Here is a 19681-nt window from a genome sequence, read left to right on the forward strand (position 1 = left end):
ATATAAGACTTGAAAGAAGAATCCTCAGAAAATTATTTGTGATATGTGCATTTAACTCATGGAGTTGAAACTTCCTTTCGATAGAAGAGTTTTGAAATACTCTTTTTGTAGAATTTCCAAGTGGATTTTTACAGCGGTTTGAGGTCTATGGCAGCAAAAGAAATATCTTCACAGAAAAATTAGGCAGATTCATTCTCCGAAGCTGTTTTGTGATGCTTGCATTCAGCTGACAGAGTTTAAACTTCCTTCGATAGAGCAGTTTGGAAACACTCTTTTTGTGGAGTTTGCAAGTGTTTATTTAGATCGTTTTCGGGCCTACAGTAGGAAAGGAAATATCTTCACATAAAAACTAGACAGAAGTATTGTCAGAAACTTATTTGTGATATTGGCATTCAACGCACAGAGTTGAACATTCCTCTTGATGGAGCAGTTTTGAAACACTCTTTTTGTAGAATCTGCATGTGGATATTTGGACCTCTTTGTGGCCTTCGTTTGAAACGTGATTTCTGCATTTACAACTAGACAGAAGAATTCTCAGTAACTTCTTTGTGATGTGTACTTTCAACTCACAGAGTTGAAGCTTCCTTTCAATAGAGCACTTTTGAAACTCAGTTTCTGTAGAATTTCCAGGTGGATATTTAGCGCCGTTTGAGGCCTATGGTGGAAAAGGCAATATCTTCGTAGAAAAACTAGACAGAATGATTCTCAGAAACTACTTTGTGATGTGTGGGTTCAACTCAGTGAGTTTCACCTTTCTTTTGATAGACCAGTTATGAAACACTCTTTTTGTGGAATCTGCAAGTAAATTTTTGGACTTTTTTGAGGCCTTCATTGGAAACGGGGTTTCTTCATATAAACCTTGACAGAAGAATTCTCAGAAACTTCTCTGTGATGTGTGCGTTTAACTCTCAGAGTTCAACCTTCCTTTTGATAGAAGAGTGTTGAAATATTCTTTTTGTAGAATTTCCAAGTGAATATTTAGAGCGGTTTCAGGCCTATGTAGAAGAGAAACTATCTCCACAGAAAAACTAGACACAATTGTTCTCTGAAGCTGCTCTGTGATGTGCGCATTCAGCTGACAGAGTTTAACCTTTCTTTTGATCGAGCGGTTTTAAACACTCTTTTTGTGGAATTTGCAATTCTATATTTAGAGTGCTTTCAGGCCTGTGGTACAAAAGGGAATGTCTTCGCATAAAATCTAGACAGAAGCGTTGTCGGAAACTAGTTTGTGATACCTGCCCTCAACTCTCAGAGTTGAATATTCCTCTTGATGGAGCAGTTTTGAAAAACTCTTTTTGTTGAATCTCCAAGTGGATATTTGGACCTCTTTGTGGCCTTCGTTTGAGACGTGACTTCTTCATACAAAACTAGACAGAAGAATTCTCATCAACTTCTTTGCGATGTGTGCTTTCAACTCGCAGAGTTGCAGCTTCCTTTCGATAGAGCAGTTTTGTAACTCTCTTTTTGTAGAATTTCCAAGTGGATATTTAGCGCCGTTTGAGGCCTGTGGTGGAAAAGGCAATATCTTCATAGAAAAACTAGACAGAATGATTCTCAGAAACTACTTTGTGATGTTTGCCTTCAACTCACAGAGTTTAACCTTTCTTTGGATAGAGCAGTTTTGAAAAACTCTTTTTGTAGAATCTGCAAGGGTATATTGGGACTTTTCTGAGGCCATCTTTGGAAACGGGATTTCTTCATATAAAACTTCAAAGAAGAATCCTCAGAAAATTATTTGTGGTATGTGCATTTAACTCATGGAGTTGAAACTTCCTTTCGCTAGAAGAGTTTTGACATACTCTTTTTGTAGGATTTCCAAGTGGATTTTCACAGCGGTTTGAGGTCTATGGCAGAAAAAGAAATATCTTCACAGAAAAACTAGGCAGATTCATTCTCCGAAGCTGTTTTGTGATGCTTGCATTAAGCTTACAGAGTTTAAAGTTCCTTTGATAGAGCAGTTTTGAAACACTCTTCTTGTGGAATTTGCAAGTGTATATTTAGAGCGTTTTGAGGCCCACAGTAGGAAAGGAAATATCTTCACATAAAAACTAGACAGAAATATTGTCAGAAACTTATTTGTGATATTTGCATTCAACGCACAGAGTTGAACATTCCTCTTGATGGAGCAGTTTTCAAACCCTCTTTTTGCAGAATCTGCAGCTGGATATTTGGACCTCTTTGTGGCCTTCGTTTGAAACGTGATTTCTTCATTTACAACTAGACAGAAGAATTCTCAGAAACTTCTTTGTGATGTGTACCTTCAACTCACAGAGGTGAAGCTTCCTTTCAATAGAGCACTTTTGAAGCTCAGTTTTGGTAGAATTTCCAGGTGGATATTTAGCGCCGTTTGAGGCCTATGGTAGAAAAGGCAATATCTTCGTAGGAGAACTAGACACAATGATTCTGAGAAACAACTTTGTGATGTGTGCGTTCAACACTCGGAGTTTAACCTTTCTTTTGATAGACTAGTTATGAAACACTCTTTTTGTAGAATCTGCAAGTAAATATTTGGACTTTTTTGAGGCCTTCATTGGAAACGGGATCTCTTCATATAAACCTTGACAGAAGAATTCCCAGAAACTTCTCTGTGATGTGAGGATTTAACTCTCAGAGTTCAACCTTCCTTTTGATAGAAGAGGGTTGAAATATTCTTTTCGTAGAATTTCCAAGTGAATATTTAGAGCGGTTTCAGGCCTATGTAGAAGAGAAAATATCTTCACAGAAAAACTAGACATAATTGTTCTCTGAAGCTAGTCTGTGATGTGCGCATTCAGCTGACAGAGTTTAACCTTTCTTTGGATAGAGCGGTTTTAAACACTCTTTTTGTGGAATTTGCAATTTTATATTTAGAGTGCTTTCAGGCCTGTGGTACAAAAGGGAATGTCTTCACATAAAATCTAGACAGAAGCATTGTCGGGAACTACTTTGGGATACCTGTCTTCAACTCTCAGAGTTGAATATTCCTCTTGATGGAGCAGTTTTGAAAAACTCTTTTTGTTGAATCTCCAAGTGGATATTTGGACCTCTTTGTGGCCTTCGTTTGAAACGTGACTGCTTCATACAAAAGTAGACAGAAGAATTCTCATAAACTTCTTCGTGATGTGTGCTTTCCACTAGCAGAGTTGAAGCTTCCTTTCGATAGAGCAGTCTTGTAACTCTCTTTTTGTAGAATTTCCAAGTGGATATTTAGCGCCGTTTGAGGCCTATGGTGGAGAAGGCGATATCTTCATAGAAAAACTAGACAGAATGATTCTCAGAAACTACTCTGTGATGTGTGCCTTCAACTCACAGAGTTTAACCTTCCTTTTGATAGAGCAGTTTTGAAAAACTCTTTTTGTAGAATCTGCAAGTGTATATTGGGACTTTTCTGAGGCCATCTTTGGAAACGGGGTTTCTTCATATAAAACTTGAAAGAAGAATCCTCAGAAAATTATTTGTGATATGTGCATTTAGCTCATGGAGCTGAAACTTCCTTTCGATAGAAGAGCTTTGAAATACTCTTTTTGTAGAATTTCCAAGTGGATTTTTACAGCGGTTTGAGGTCTATGGCAGAAAAAGAAATATCTTCACAGAAAAATTAGGCAGATTCATTCTCCGAAGCTGTTTTGTGATGCTTGCATTAAGCGGACAGAGTTTAAACTTCCTTTGATAGAGCAGTTTGGAAACACTCTTTTTGTGGAATTTGCAAGTGTATCTTTAGAGCGTTTTGAGGCCTACAGTAGGAAAGGAAAAATCTTCACATAAAAACTACACAGAAGTATTGTCAGAAACTTATTTGTGATATTTGCATTCAACGCACGGAGTTGAACATTCCTCTTGATGGAGCCGTTTTGAAGCACTCTTTTTGTGGAATCTGCAAGTGGATATTTGGACCTCTTTGTGGCCTTCGTGTGAAACTTGCTTTCTTCATTTACAACTAGACAGAAGAATTCTCAGAAACTTCTTTGTGATGTGTACTTTCAACTCACAGAGTTGAAGCTTCCTTTCAATAGAGCACTTTTGAAACTCAGTTTCTGTAGAATTTCCAGGTGGATATTTAGCGCCGTTTGAGGCCTATGGTGGAAAAGGCAATATCTTCGTAGAAAAACTAGACAGAATGATTCTCAGAAACAACTTTGTGATGTGTGCGTTCAACTCACGGAGTTTAACCTTTCTTTTGATAGACCAGTTATGAAACACTCTTTTTGTAGAATCTGCAAGTAAATATTTGGACTTTTTTGAGGCCTTCATTGGAAACGGGATCTCTTCATACAAACCTTGACAGAAGAATTCCGAGAAACTTCTCTGTGATGTGTGCATTTAACTCTCAGAGTTCAACCATCATTTTGATAGAAGAGGGTTGAAATTTTCTTTTTGTAGAATTTCCAAGTGAATATTTAGAGCGGTTTCAGGCCTAAGTAGAAGAGAAAATATCGTCACAGAAAAACTAGACATAATAGTTCTCTGAAGCTACTTTGTGATGTGCGCATTCAGCTTACAGAGTTTAACCTTTCTTTGGATCGAGCGGTTTTAAACACTCTTTTTGTGGAATTTGCAATTCTATATTTAGAGTGCTTTCAGGCCTGTGGTACAAAAGGGAATGTCCTCACTTAAAATCTAGACAGAAGCATTGTCGGAAACTATTTTGTGATACCTGCCTTCAACTCTCAGAGTTGAATATTCCTCTTGATGGAGCAGTTTTGAAAAACTCTTTTTGTTGAATCTCCAAGTGGATATTTGGACCTCTTTGTGGCCTTCGTTTGAAACGCGACTGCTTCATACAAAACTGGACAGAAGAATTCTCATAAACTTCTTCGTGATGTGTGCTTTCAACTCGCAGCGTTGAAGCTTCCTTTCGATAGAGCAGTTTAGTAACTCTCTTTTTGTAGAATTTCCAAGTGGATATTTAACGCCATTTGAGGCCTATGGTGGAAAAGGCAATATCTTCATAGAAAAACTAGACAGAATGATTCTCAGAAACTACTTTGTGATGTGTGCCTTCAACTCACAGAGTTTAACCTTTCTTTTGATAGAGCAGTTTTGAAAAACTCTTTTTGTAGAATCTGCAAGTGTATATTGGGACTTTTCTGAGGCCATCTTTGGAAACGGGATTTCTTCCTATAAAACTTGAAAGAAGAATCCTCAGAAAATTATTTGTGATATGTGCATTTAACTCATGGAGTTGAAACTTCCTTTCGATAGAAGAGTTTTGAAATACTCTTTTTGTAGAATTCCCAAGTGGATTTTTACAGCAGTTTGAGGTCTATGGCAGCAAAAGAAATATCTTCACAGAAAAACTAGGCAGATTCATTCTCCGAAGCTGTTTTGTGATGCTTGCATTCAGCTGACAGAGTTTAAACTTCCTTTGATAGAGCAGTTTGGAAACACTCTTTTTGTGGAATTTGCAAGTGTCTATTTAGAGCGTTTTGAGGCCTACAGTAGGAAAGGAAATATCTTCACCTAAAAACTAGACAGAAGTATTGTCAGAAACTTATTTGTGATATTTGCATTCAACGCACGGAGTTGAACATTCCTCTTGATGGAGCCGTTTTGAAGCACTCTTTATGTGGAATCTGCAAGTGGATATTTGGACCTCTTTGTGGCCTTCGTGTGAAACTTGCTTTCTTCATTTACAACTAGACAGAAGAATTCTCAGAAACTTCTTTGTGATGTGTACTTTCAACTCACAGAGTTGAAGCTTCCTTTCAATAGAGCACTTTTGAAACTCAGTTTCTGTAGAATTTCCAGGTGGATATTTAGCGCCGTTTGAGGCCTATGGTGGAAAAGGCAATATCTTCGTAGAAAAACTAGACAGAATGATTCTCAGAATCTACTTTGTGATGTGTGGGTTCAACTCACTGAGTTTCACCTTTCTTTTGATAGACCAGTTATGAAACACTCTTTTTGTGGAATCTGCAAGTAAATATTTGGACTTTTTTGAGGCCTTCATTGGAAACGGGGTTTCTTCATACAAACCTTTACAGAAGAATTCTCAGACACTTCTCTGTGATGTGTGCGTTTAACTCTCAGAGTGCATCCTTCCTTTTGATAGAAGAGGGTTGAAATATTCCTTTTGAAGAATTTCCAAGTGAATATTTGGAGCGGTTTCAGGCCTATGTAGAAGAGAAAATATCTTCACAGAAAAACTAGACATAATTGTTCTCTGAAGCCACTCTGTGATGTGCGCATTCAGCTGACAGAGTTTAAGCTTTCTTTGGATAGATCGGATTTAAACACTCTTTTTGTGGAATTTGCAATTCTATATTTAGAGTGCTTTCAGGCCTGTGGTACGAAAGGGAATGTCTTCACATAAAATCTAGACAGAAGCATTGTCGGAAACTACTTTGTGATACCTGCCTTCAACTCTCAGAGTTGAATGTTCCTCTTGATGGAGCAGTTTTGAAAAACTCTTTTTGTTGAATCTCCAAGTGGATATTTGGACCTCTTTGTGGCCTTCGTTTGAGACGTGACTTCTTCATACAAAAGTAGACAGAAGAATTCTCATAAACTTCTTCGTGATGTGTGCTTTCAAGTCGCAGCGTTGAAGCTTCCTTTCGATAGAGCAGTTTAGTAACTCTCTTTTTGTAGAATTTCCAGGTGGATATTTAGCGCCGTTTGAGGCCTATGGTAGAAAAGGCAATATCTTCGTAGGAGAACTAGACAGAATGATTCTCAGAAACTGCTTTGTGATGTGTGCCTTCAACTCACAGAGTTTAACCTTTCTTTTGATAGAGCAGTTTTGAAAAACTCTTTTTGTAGAATCTGCAAGTGTATATTGGGAATTTTCTGAGGCCATCTTTGGAAACGGGATTTCTTCATATAAAACTTGAAAGAAGAATCCTCAGAAAATTATTTGTGATATGTGCATTTAACTCATGGAGTTGAAACTTCCTTTCGATGGAAGAGTTTTGAAATACTCTTTTTGTAGAATTTCCAAGTGGATTTTTACAGCGGTTTGAGGTCTATGGCAGAAAAAGAAATATCTTCACAGAAAAACAAGGCAGATTCATTCTCCGAAGCTGTTTTGTGATGCTTGCATTAAGCTGACAGAGTTTAAACTTCCTTTGATAGAGCAGTTTGGAAACACTCTTTTTGTGGAATTTGAAAGTGTATATTTAGAGCGTTTTGAGGCCTACAGTAGGAAAGGAAATATCTTCACATAAAAGCTAGACAGAAGTATTGTCAGAAACTTATTTGTGATATTTGCGTTCAACGCACAGAGTTGAACATTCCTCTTGATGGAGCAGTTTTCAAACCCTCTTTTTACAGAATCTGTAGCTGGATATTTGGACCTCTTTGTGGCCTTCGTTTGAAACGTGATTTCTGCATTTACAACTAGACAGAAGAATTCTCAGAAACTTCTTTGTGATGTGTACCTTCAACTGACAGAGGTGAAAGTTCCTTTGAATAGAGCACTTTTGAAACTCAGTTTTGGTCGAATTTCCAGGTGGATATTTAGGGCCGTTTGAGGCCTATGGTAGAAAAGGCAATATCTTCGTAGGAGAACTAGACAGAATGATTCTCAGAAGCTAATTTGTGATGTGTGGGTTCAACTCACTGAGTTTAACCTTTCTTTTGATAGACCAGTTATGAAACACTCTTTCTGTGGAATCTGCAAGTAAATATTTGGACTTTTTTGAGGCCTTCATTGGAAACGGGGTTTCTTCATATAAACCTTGACAAAAGAATTCCCAGAAACTTCTCTGTGATGTGTGCATTTAACTCTCAGAGTTCAACCTTCCTTTTGATAGAAGAGGGTTGAAATATTCTTTTTGTAGAATTTCCAAGTGAATATTTAGAGCGGTTTCAGGCCTATGTAGAAGAGAAAATATCTTCACAGAAAAACTAGACATAACTGTTCTCTGAAGCTGCTCTGTGATGTGCGCATTCAGCTGACAGAGTTTAACCTTTCTTTGGATAGAGCGGTTTTCAACACTCTTTTTGTGGAATTTGCAATTCTATGTTTAGAGTGCTTTCAGGCCTGTGGTACAAAAGGGAATGTCTTCACATAAAATCTAGACAGAAGCATTGTCGGAAACTACTTTGTGATACCTGCCTTCAACTCTCAGAATTGAATATTCCTCTTGATGGAGCAGTTTTGAAAAACTCCTTTGGTTGAATCTCCAAGTGGATATTTGGACCTCTTTGTGGCCTTCGTTTGAGACGTGACTTCTTCATACAAAAGTAGACAGAAGAATTCTCATAAACTTCTTTGGGATGTGTGCTTGCAACTCGCAGAGTTGAAGCTTCCTTTCAATAGAGCAGTCTTGTAACTCTCTTTTTGTAAAATTTCCAAGTGGATATTTAGCGCCGTTTGAGGCCTATGGTGGAAAAGGCAATATCTTCATAGAAAAACTAGACAGAATGATTCTCAGAAACTACTCTGTGATGTGTGTCTTCAACTCACAGAGTTTAACCTTCCTTTTGGTAGAGCAGTTTTGAAAAACTCTTTTTGTAGAATCTGCAAGTGTATATTATGAGTTTTCTGAGGCCATCTTTGGAAACGGGATTTCTTCATATAAAACTTGAAAGAAGAATCCTCAGAAAATTATTTGTGATATGTGCATTTAACTCATGGAGTTGAGACTTCCTTTTGATAGAAGAGTTTTGAAATACTCTTTTTGTAGAATTTCCAAGTGGATTTTTACAGCGGTTTGAGGTCTATGGCAGAAAAAGAAATATCTTCACAGAAAAACTAGGCAGATCCATTCTCCGAAGCTGTTTTGTGACGCTTGCATTCAGCTGACAGAGTTTAAACTTCCTTTGATAGAGCAGTTTTCAAACACTCTTTTTGTGGAATTTGCAAGTGTATATTTAGAGCGTTTTGAGGCCTGCAGTAGGAAAGGAAATATCTTCACCTAAAAACTAGACAGAAGTATTGTCAGAAACTTATTTGTGATATTTGCATTCAACGCATGGAGTTGAACATTCCTCTTGATGGAGCCGTTTTGAAGCACTCTTTTTGTGGAATCTGCAAGTGGATATTTGGACCTCTTTGTGGCCTTCGTGTGAAACGTGATTTCTTCATTTACAACTAGACAGAAGAATTCTCAGAAACTCCTTTGTGATGTGTACCTTCAACTCACAGAGGTGAAGCTTCCTTTCAATAGAGCACTTTTGAAACTCAGTTTTGGTAGAATTTCCAGGTGGATATTTTGCGCCGTTTGAGGCCTATGGTAGAAAAGGCAATATCTTCGTAGGAGAACTAGACACAAAGATTCTCAGAAGCTACTATGTGATGTGTGGGTTCAACTCACTGAGTTTAACCTTTCTTTTGATAGACCAGTTTATGAAACACTCTTTTTGTAGAATCTGCAAGTAAATCTTTGGACATTTTTGAGGCCTTCTTTGGAAACGTGGTGTCTTCATATAAACCTTGACAGAAGAATTCCCAGAAAATTCTCTGTGATGTGTGCATTTAACTCTCAGAGTTCAACCTTCCTTTTGATAGAAGAGGGTTGAAATATTCTTTTTGTAGAATTTCCAAGTGAATATTTAGAGCGGTTTCAGGCCTAAGTAGAAGAGAAAATATCTTCACAGAAAAACTAGACATAATTGTTCTCTGAAGCTGCTCTGTGATGTGCGCATTCAGCTGACAGAGTTTAACCTTTCTTTGGATAGAGCGGTTTTAAACACTCTTTTTTTTGGAAATTGCAATTCTATACTTAGAGTGCTTTCAGGCCTGTGGTACAAAAGGGAATGTCTTCACATAAAATCTAGACAGAAGCATTGTCGGAAACTACTTTGTGATACCTGCCTTCAACTCTCAGAGTTGAATATTCCTCTTGATGGAGCAGTTTTGAAAAACTCTTTTTGTTGAATCTCCAAGTGGATATTTGGACCTCTTTGTGGCCTTCGTTTGAGACGTGACTGCTTCATACAAAACTGGACAGAAGAATTCTCATAAACTTCTTCGTGATGTGTGCTTTCAACTCGCAGCGTTGAAGCTTCCTTTCGATAGAGCAGTTTAGTAACTCTCTTTTTGTAGAATTTCCAAGTGGATACTTAGCGCCGTTTGAGGCCTATGGTGGAAAAGGCAATATCTTCATAGAAAAACTAGACAGAATGATTCTCAGAAACTACTCTGTGATGTGTGCCTTCAACTCACAGAGTTTAATCTTCCTTTTGATAGAGCAGTTTTGAAAAACTCTTTTTGTAGAATCTGCAAGTGTATATTGGGACTTTTCTGAGGCCATCTTTGGAAACGGGATTTCTTCATATAAAACTTGAAAGAAGAATCCTCAGAAAATTATTTGTGATATGTGCATTTAACTCATGGAGCTGAAACTTCCTTTCGATAGAAGAGCTTTGAAATACTCTTTTTGTAGAATTTCCAAGTGGATTTTTACAGCGGTTTGAGGTCTATGGTAGAAAAAGAAATATCTTCACAGAAAAACTAGGCAGATTCATTCTCCGAAGCTGTTTTGTGATGCTTGCATTAAGCGGACAGAGTTTAAACTTCCTTTGATAGAGCAGTTTGGAAACACTCTTTTTGTGGAATTTGCAAGTGTATCTTTAGAGCGTTTTGAGGCCTACAGTAGGAAAGGAAATATCTTCACATAAAAACTACACAGAAGTATTGTCAGAAACTTACTTGTGATATTTGCATTCAACGCACAGAGTTGAACATTCCTCTTGATGGAGCAGTTTTGAAACACTCTTTTTGCAGAATCTGCAGGTGGATATTTGGATCTCTTTGTGGCCTTCGTTTGAAACGTGATTTCTTCATTTACAACTAGACAGAAGAATTCTCAGAAACTTCTTTGTGATGTGTACCTTCAACTCACAGAGGTGAAGCTTCCTTTCAATAGAGCACTTTTGAAGCTCAGTTTTGGTAGAATTTCCAGGTGGATATTTAGCGCCGTTTGAGGCCTATGGTAGAAAAGGCAATATCTTCGTAGGAGAACAAGACACAATGATTCTCAGAAGCTACTTTGTGATGTGTGGGTTCAACTCACTGAGTTTAACCTTTCTTTTGATAGACCAGTTATGAAACACTCTTTTTGTGGAATCTGCAAGTAAATATTTGGACTTTTTTGAGGCCTTCATTAGAAACGGGGTTTCTTCATATAAACCTTGACAGAAGAATTCCCAGAAACTTCTCTGTGATGTGTGCATTTAACTCTCAGAGTTCAACCTTCCTTTTGATAGAAGAGGGTTGAAATTTTCTTTTTGTAGAATTTCCAAGTGAATATTTAGAGCGGATTCAGGCCTAAGTAGAAGAGAAAATATCTTCACAGAAAAACTAGACATAATTGTTCTCTGAAGCTGCTCTGTGATGTGCGCATTCAGCTGACAGAGTTTAAACTTTCTTTGGATAGAGCGGTTTTCAACACTCTTTTTGTGGAATTTGCAATTCTATATTTAGAGTGCTTTCAGGCCTGTGGTACAAAAGGGAATGTCTTCACATAAAATCTAGACAGAAGCATTGTCGGGAACTACTTTGTGATACCTGCCTTCAACTCTCAGAGTTGAATATTCCTCTTGATGGAGCAGTTTTGTAAAACTCTTTTTGTTGAATCTCCAAGTGGATATTTGGACCTCTTCGTGGCCTTCGTTTGAAACGTGACTGCTTCATACAAAAGTAGACAGAAGAATTCTCATCAACTTCTTCGTGATGTGTGCTTTCAACTCGCAGCGTTGAAGCTTCCTTTCGATAGAGCAGTTCTGTAACTCTCTTTTTGTAGAATTTCCAAGTGGATATTTAGCGCCGTTTGAGGCCAATGGTGGAAAAGGCAATATCTTCATAGAAAAACTAGACAGAATGATTCTCAGAAACTACTTTGTGATGTGTGACTTCAACTCACAGAGTTTAACCTTCCTTTTGGTAGAGCAGTTTTGAAAAACTCTTTTTGTAGAATCTGCAAGTGTATATTGGGACTTTTCTGAGGCCATCTTTGGAAACGGGATTTCTTCATATAAAACTTGAAAGAAGAATCCTCAGAAAATTATTTGTGATATGTGCATTTAACTCATGGAGTTGAAACTTCCTTTCGATAGAAGAGTTTTGAAATACTCTTTTTGTAGAATTTCCAAGTGGATTTTTACAGCGGTTTGAGGTCTATGGCAGCAAAAGATATATCTTCACAGAAAAACTAGGCAGAATGATTCTCAGAATCTACTTTGTGATGTGTGCATTCAACTCACAGAGTTTAAATTTTCTTTTGATAGAGCAGTTTTGAAACACTACATTTGTGGAATTTGCAAGTGCAAATATTTAGAGTGCTTTGAGGCCTATGGTCGAAAAGGAAATATCTTCACATAAAAACTAGACAGAGATTGTCAGAAACGATTTTGTGATATTTGCATTCAACTCACAGAGTTGAACATTGCTCTTGATAGAGGAGTTTTGAAACACTCTTTTTGTGGAATGTGCAAATGGATATTTGGACCTCTTTGTGGCCTTCGTTTGAAAACGTGATTTCTTCATATAAAACTAGAGAGAAGAATTCTCAGAAACTTCTCTGTGATGTGTACCTTCAACTCACAGAGGTGAAGCTTCCTTTCAATAGAGCACTTTTGAAGCTCAGTTTTGGTAGAATTTTCAGGTGGATATTTAGCGCCGTTTGAGGCCTATGGTAGAAAAGGCAATATCTTCGTAGGAGAACTAGACAGAATGATTATCAGAAGCTACTTTGTGATGTGTGGGTTCAACTCACTGAGTTTAACCTTTCTTTTGATAGACCAGTTATGAAACACTCTTTCTGTGGAATCTGCAAGTAAATTTTTGGACTTTTTTGAGGCCTTCATTGGAAACGGGGTTTCTTCATATAAACCTTGACAGAAGAATTCTCAGTAACTTCTCTGTGATGTGTGCGTTTAACTCTCAGAGTTCAACCTTCCTTTTGATAGAAGAGTGTTGAAACATTCTTTTTGTAGAATTTCCAAGTGAATATTTAGAGCGGTTTCAGGCCTATGTAGAAGAGAAAATATCTTCACAGAAAAACTAGACATAATTGTTCTCTGAAGCTGCTCTGAGATGTGCGCATTCAGCTGACAGAGTTTAACCTTTCTTTGGATAGAGCGGTTTTAAACATTCTTTTGTGGAATTTGCAATTCTATATTTAGAGTGCTTTCAGGCCTGTGGTACAAAAGGGAATGTCTTCACATAAAATCTAGACAGAAGCATTGTCGGAAACTACTTTGTGATACCTGCCTTCAACTCTCAGAGTTGAATGTTCCTCTTGATGGAGCAGTTTTGAAAAACTCTTTTTGTTGAATCTCCAAGTAGATTTTTGGACCTCTTTGTGGCCTTCGTTTGAGACGTGACTTCTTCATACAAAAGTAGACAGAAGAATTCTCATAAACTTCTTCGTGATGTGTTCTTTCAACTCGCAGAGTTGAAGCTTCCTTTCAATAGAGCAGTCTTGTAACTCTCTTTTTGTAGAATTTCCAAGTGGATATTTAGCGCCGCTTGAGGCCTATGGTGGAGAAGGCGATATCTTCATAGAAAAACTAGACAGAATGATTCTCAGAAACTACTCTGTGATGTGTGCCTTCAACTCACAGAGTTTAACCTTCCTTTTGATAGAGCAGTTTTGAAAAACTCTTTTTGTAGAATCTGCAAGTGTATATTGGGACTTTTCTGAGGCCAACTTTGGAAACGGGATTTCTTCATATAAAACTTGAAAGAAGAATCCTCAGAAAATTATTTGTGGTATGTGCATTTAACTCATGGAGTTGAAACTTCCTTTCGATAGAAGAGTTTTGACATACTCTTTTCGTAGGATTTCCAAGTGGATTTTCACAGCGGTTTGAGGTCTATGGCAGAAAAAGAAATATCTTCACAGAAAAACTAGGCAGATTCATTCTCCGAAGCTGTTTTGTGATGCTTGCATTAAGCTGACAGAGTTTAAACTTCCTTTGATAGAGCAGTTTGGAAACACTCTTTTTGTGGAATTTGCAAGTGTATATTTAGAGCGTTTTGAGGCCTACAGTAGGAAAGGAAATATCTTCACATAAAAACTAGACAGAAGTATTGTCAGAAACTTACTTGTGATATTTGCATTCAACGCACAGAGTTGAACATTCCTCTTGATGGAGCAGTTTTGAAACCCTCTTTTTGTAGAATCTGCAGGTGGATATTTGGACCTCTTTGTGGCCTTCGTTTGAAACGTGATTTCTTCATTTACAACTAGACAGAAGAATTCTCAGAAACTTCTTTGTGATGTGTACCTTCAACCCACAGAGGTGAAGCTTCCTTTCAATAGAGCACTTTTGAAACTCAGTTTTGGTAGAATTTCCAGGTGGATATTTTGCGCCGTTTGAGGCCTATGGTAGAAAAGGCAATATCTTCGTAGGAGAACTAGACAGAATGATTCTCAGAAGCTACTTTGTGATGTGTGGGTTCAACTCACTGAGTTTAACCTTTCTTTTGATAGACCAGTTATGAAACACTCTTTCTGTGGAATCGGCAAGTAAATATTTGGACTTCTTTGAGGCCTTCATTGGAAACGGGGTTTCTTCATATAAACCTTGACAAAAGAATTCTCAGAAACTTCTCTGTGATGTGTGCGTTTAACTCTCAGAGTTCAACCTTCCTTTTGATAGAAGAGTGTTGAAATATTCTTTTTGCAGAATTTCCACGTGAATATTTAGAGCGGTCTCAGGCCTATGTAGAAGAGAAACTATCTTCACGGAAAAACTAGACATAATTGTTCTCTGAAGCTCCTCTGTGATGTGCGCATTCAGCTGACAGAGTTTAACCTTTCTTTGGATAGAGCGGTTTTCAACACTCTTTTTGTGGAATTTGCAATTCTATATTTAGAGTGCTTTCAGGCCTGTGGTACAAAAGGGAATGTCTTCACATAAAATCTAGACAGAAGCATTGTCGGGAACTACTTTGGGATACCTGCCTTCAACTCTCAGAGTTGAGTATTCCTCTTGATGGAGCAGTTTTGAAAAACTCTTTTTGTTGAATCTCCAAGTGGATATTTGGACCTCTTTGTGGCCTTCGTTTGAAACGTGACCGCTTCATACAAAAGTAGACAGAAGAATTCTCACCAACTTCTTCGCGATGTGTGCTTTCAACTCGCAGAGTTGCAGCTTCCTTTCGATAGAGCAGTTTTGTAACTCTCTTTTTGTAGAATTTCCAAGTGGATATTTAGCGCCGTTTGAGGCCTATGGTGGAAAAGGCAATATCTTCATAGAAAAACTAGACAGAATGATTCTCAGAAACTACTTTGTGATGTGTGCCTTCAACTCACAGAGTTTAACCTTTCTTTTGATAGAGCAGTTTTGAAAAACTCTTTTTGTAGAATCTGCAAGTGTATATTGGGACTTTTCTGAGGCCATCTTTGGAAACGGGATTTCTTCAGATAAAACTTGAAAGAAGAATCCTCAGAAAATTATTTGTGATATGTGCATTTAACTCATGGAGTTGAAACTTCCTTTCGATAGAAGAGTTTTGAAATACTCTTTTTGTAGAATATCCAAGTGGATTTTTACAGCGGTTTGAGGTCTATGGCTGCAAAAGGAATATCTTCACAGAAAAACTAGGCAGATCCATTCTCCAAAGCTGTTTTGTGACGCTTGCATTCAGCTGACAGAGTTTAAACTTCCTTTGATAGAGCAGTTTTCAAACACACTTTTTGTGGAATTTGCAAGTGTATATTTAGAGCGTTTTGAGGCCTGCAGTAGGAAAGGAAATATCTTCACCTAAAAACTAGACAGAAGTATTGTGAGAAACTTATTTGTGATATCTGCATTCAACGCACAGAGTTGAACATTCCTCTTGATGGAGCCGTTTTGAAACACTCTTTTTGTAGAATCTGCAAGTGGATATTTGGACCTCTTTGTGGCCTTCGTGTGAAACGTGATTTGTTCATTTACAACTAGACAGAAGAATTCTCAGAAACTTATTAGTGATGTGTACCTTCAACTCACAGAGGTGAAGCTTCCTTTCAATAGAGCACTTTTGAAACTCAGTTTTGGTAGAATTTCCAGGTGGATATTTAGCGCCGTTTGAGGCCTATGGTAGAAAAGGCAATATCTTCGTAGGAGAACTAGACAGAATTGTTCTCAGAAGCTACTTTGTGATGTGTGGGTTCAACTCACTGAGTTTAACCTTTCTTTTGATAGACCAGTTATGAAACACTCTTTCTGTGGAATCGGCAAGTAAATATTTGGACTTTTTTGAGGCCTTCTTTGGAAACGGGGTTTCTTCATATAAACCTTGACAGAAGAATTCTCAGAAACTTCTCTGTGATGTGTGCGTTTAACTCTCAGAGTTCAACCTTCCTTTTGATAGAAGAGTGTTGAAATATTCTTTTTGTAGAATTACCAAGTGAATATTTAGAGCGGTTTCAGGCCTATGTAGAAGAGAAACTATCTTCACAGAAAAACTAGACATAATTGTTCTCTGAAGCTACTTTGTGATGTGCGCCTTCAGCTGACAGAGTTGAACCTTTCTTTGGATAGAGCGGTTTTAAACACTCTTTTTGTGGAATTTGCAATTCTATATTTAGAGTGCTTTCAGGCCTGTGGTACAAAAGGGAATGTCTTCACATAAAATCGAGACAGAAGCATTGTCGGGAACTACTTTGGGATACCTGCCTTCAACTCTCAGAGTTGAATATTCCTCTTGATGGAGCAGTTTTGAAAAACTCTTTTTGTTGAGTCTCCAAGTGGATATTTGGACCTCTTTGTGGCCTTCGTTTGAAACGTGACTGCTTCATACAAAAGTAGACAGAAGAAGTCTAAGAAACTTCTTTGTGATGTGTGCTTTCAACTCACAGATTTGAACCTTCAATTCGATACAGCAGTTTTGAAACCCTTTTTTTCGAATTTCCAAGTGGATATTTAGAGCTGTTTGAGGCCTATGGTAGAAAACACAATATCTTCATAGAAAAACTAGACAGAATGATTCTCAGAAACTACTCTGTGATGTGTGCCTTCAACTCACAGAGTTTAACCTTCCTTTTGATAGAGCAGTTTTGAAAAACTCTTTTTGTAGAATCTGCAAGTGTATATTGGGACTTTTCAGAGGCCATCTTTGGAAACGGGATTTCTTCATATAAAACTTGAAAGAAGAATCCTCAGAAAATTATTTGTGATATGTGCATTTAACTCATGGAGTTCAGACTTCCTTTCGATAGAAGAGTTTTGAAATACTCTTTTTGTAGAATTTCCAAGTGGATTTTTACAGCGGTTTGAGGTCTATGGCAGAAAAAGGAATATCTTTACAGAAAAAGCAGGCAGATTCATTCTCCGAAGCTGTTTTGTGATGCTTGCATTAAGCGGACAGAGTTTAAACTTCCTTTGATAGAGCAGTTTGGAAACACTCTTTTTGTGGAATTTGCAAGTGTATATTTAGAGCGTTTTGAGGCCTACAGTAGGAAAGGAAATATCTTCACATAAAAACTACACAGAAGTATTGTCAGAAACTTATTTGTGATATTTGCATTCAACACACGGAGTTGAACATTCCTCTTGATGGAGCCGTTTTGAAGCACTCTTTTTGTGGAATCTGCAAGTGGATATTTGGACCTCTTTGTGGCCTTCATGTGAAACGTGATTTCTTCATTTACAATTAGACAGAAGAATTCTCAGAAACTTCTTTGTGATGTGTACCTTCAACCCACAGAGGTGAAGCTTCCTTTCAATAGAGCACTTTTGAAACTCAGTTTTGGTAGAATTTCCAGGTGGATATTTAGCGCCGTTTGAGGCCTATGGTAGAAAAGGCAATATCTTCGTAGGAGAACTAGACAGAATGATTCTCAGAAGGTACATTGTGATGTGTGGGTTCAACTCACTGAGTTTAACCTTTCTTTTGATAGACCAGTTATGAAACACTCTTTTTGTGGAATCTGCAAGTAAATTTTTGGACTTTTTTGAGGCCTTCATTGGAAACGGGGTTTCTTCATATAAACCTTGACAGAAGAATTCCCAGAAACTTCTCTGTGGTGTGTGCATTTAACTCTCAGAGTTCAAACTTCCTTTTGATAGAAGAGTGTTATAGTATTCTTTCTGTAGAATTTCCAAGTGAATATTTAGAGCGGTTTCAGGCCTATGTAGAAGAGAAACTATCTTCACAGAAAAACTAGACATAATTGTTCTCTGAAGCTACTCTGTGATGTGCGCATTCAGCTGACAGAGTTTAACCTTTCGTTGGATAGAGCGGTTTTAAACCCTCTTTTTGTGGAATTTGCTATTCTATCTTTAGAGTGCTTTCAGGCCTCTGGTACAAAAGGGAATGTCTTCACATAAAATCTAGACAGAAGCATTGTCGGAAACTACTTTGTGATACCTGCCTTCAACCCTCAGAGTTGAATATTCCTCTTGATGGAGCAGTTTTGAAAAACTCTTTTTGTTGAATCTCCAAGTGGACATTTGGACCTCTTTGTGGCCCTCGTTTGAAACGTGACTTCTTCATACAAAACTAGACAGAAGAACTCTCATAAACTTCGTCGTGATTTGTGCTTTCAACTCGCTGAGTTGAAGCTTCCTTTCGACAGAGCAGTCTTGTAACTCTCTTTTTGTAGAATTTCCAAGGGGATATTTAGCGCCGTTTGAGGCCTATGGTGGAAAAGGCAATATCTTCATAGAAAAACTAGACAGAATGATTCTCAGAAACTACTCTGTGATGTGTGCCTTCAACTCACAGAGTTTAACCTTCCTTTTGATAGAGCAGTTTTGAAAAACACTTTTTGTAGAATCTGCAAGTGTATATTGGGACTTTTCTGAGGCCAACTTTGGAAACGGGATTTCTTCATATAAAACTTGAAAGAAGAATCCTCAGAAAATTATTTGTGATATGTGTATTTAACTCATGGAGCTGAAACTTCCTTTCGATAGAAGAGCTTTGAAATACTCTTTTTGTAGAATTTCCAAGTGGATTTTTACAGCGGTTTGAGGTCTATGGCAGAAAAAGAAATATCTTCACAGAAAAACTAGGCAGATTCATTCTCCGAAGCTGCTTTGTGATGCTTGCATTCAGCTGACAGAGTTTAAACTTCCTTTGATAGAGAAGTTTTGAAAAACTCTTTTTGTGGAATTTGCAAGTGTCTCTTTAGAGCGTTTTGAGGCCTACAGTAGGAAAGGAAATATCTTCACCTAAAAACTAGACAGAAGTATTGTCAGAAACTTATTTGTGATATTTGCATTCAACGCACGGAGTTGAACATTCCTCTTGATGAAGCCGTTTTGAAGCACTCTTTTTGTGGAATCTGCAAGTGGATATTTGGACCTCTTTGTGGCCTTCGTGTGAAACGTAATTTCTTCATTTACAACTAGACAGAAGAATTCTCAGAAACTTCTTTGTGATGTGTACCTTCAACTCACAGAGGTGAAGCTTCCTTTCAATAGAGCACTTTTGAAACTCAGTTTTGGTAGAATTTCCAGGTGGATATTTAGCGCCATTTGAGGCCTATGGTAGAAAAGGCAATATCTTCGTAGGAGAACTAGACACAATGATTCTCAGAAGCTACTTTGTGATGTGTGGGTTCAACTCACTGAGTTTAACCTTTCTTTTGATAGACCAGTTATGAAACACTCTTTCTGTGGAATCGGCAAGTAAATATTTGGACTTTTTTGAGGCCTTCATTGGAAACGGGGTTTCTTCATATCAACCTTGACAGAAGAATTCTCAGAAACTTCTCTGTGATGTGTGCGTTTAACTCTCAGAGTTCAACCTTCCTTTTGATAGAAGAGTGTTGAAATATTCTTTTTGCAGAATTTCCAAGTGAATATTTAGAGCGGTCTC

At 37.7% G+C, this 19681-nt stretch overlaps 1 annotated feature.

Annotated features, from left to right (window-relative positions):
* Positions 1-19681: part of a centromere (Linear centromere model derived predominantly from reads generated in PMID: 17803354. This region does not represent an actual centromere sequence, as long-range ordering of repeats and unmapped WGS contigs is not provided by the model. For details of model production, see http://arxiv.org/abs/1307.0035.) that runs on past both edges of the window.

Source organism: Homo sapiens, chromosome 3 (genome assembly GCF_000001405.40).
Source record: "Homo sapiens chromosome 3, GRCh38.p14 Primary Assembly".
Classification (NCBI taxonomy): Eukaryota; Metazoa; Chordata; class Mammalia; order Primates; family Hominidae; genus Homo; species Homo sapiens.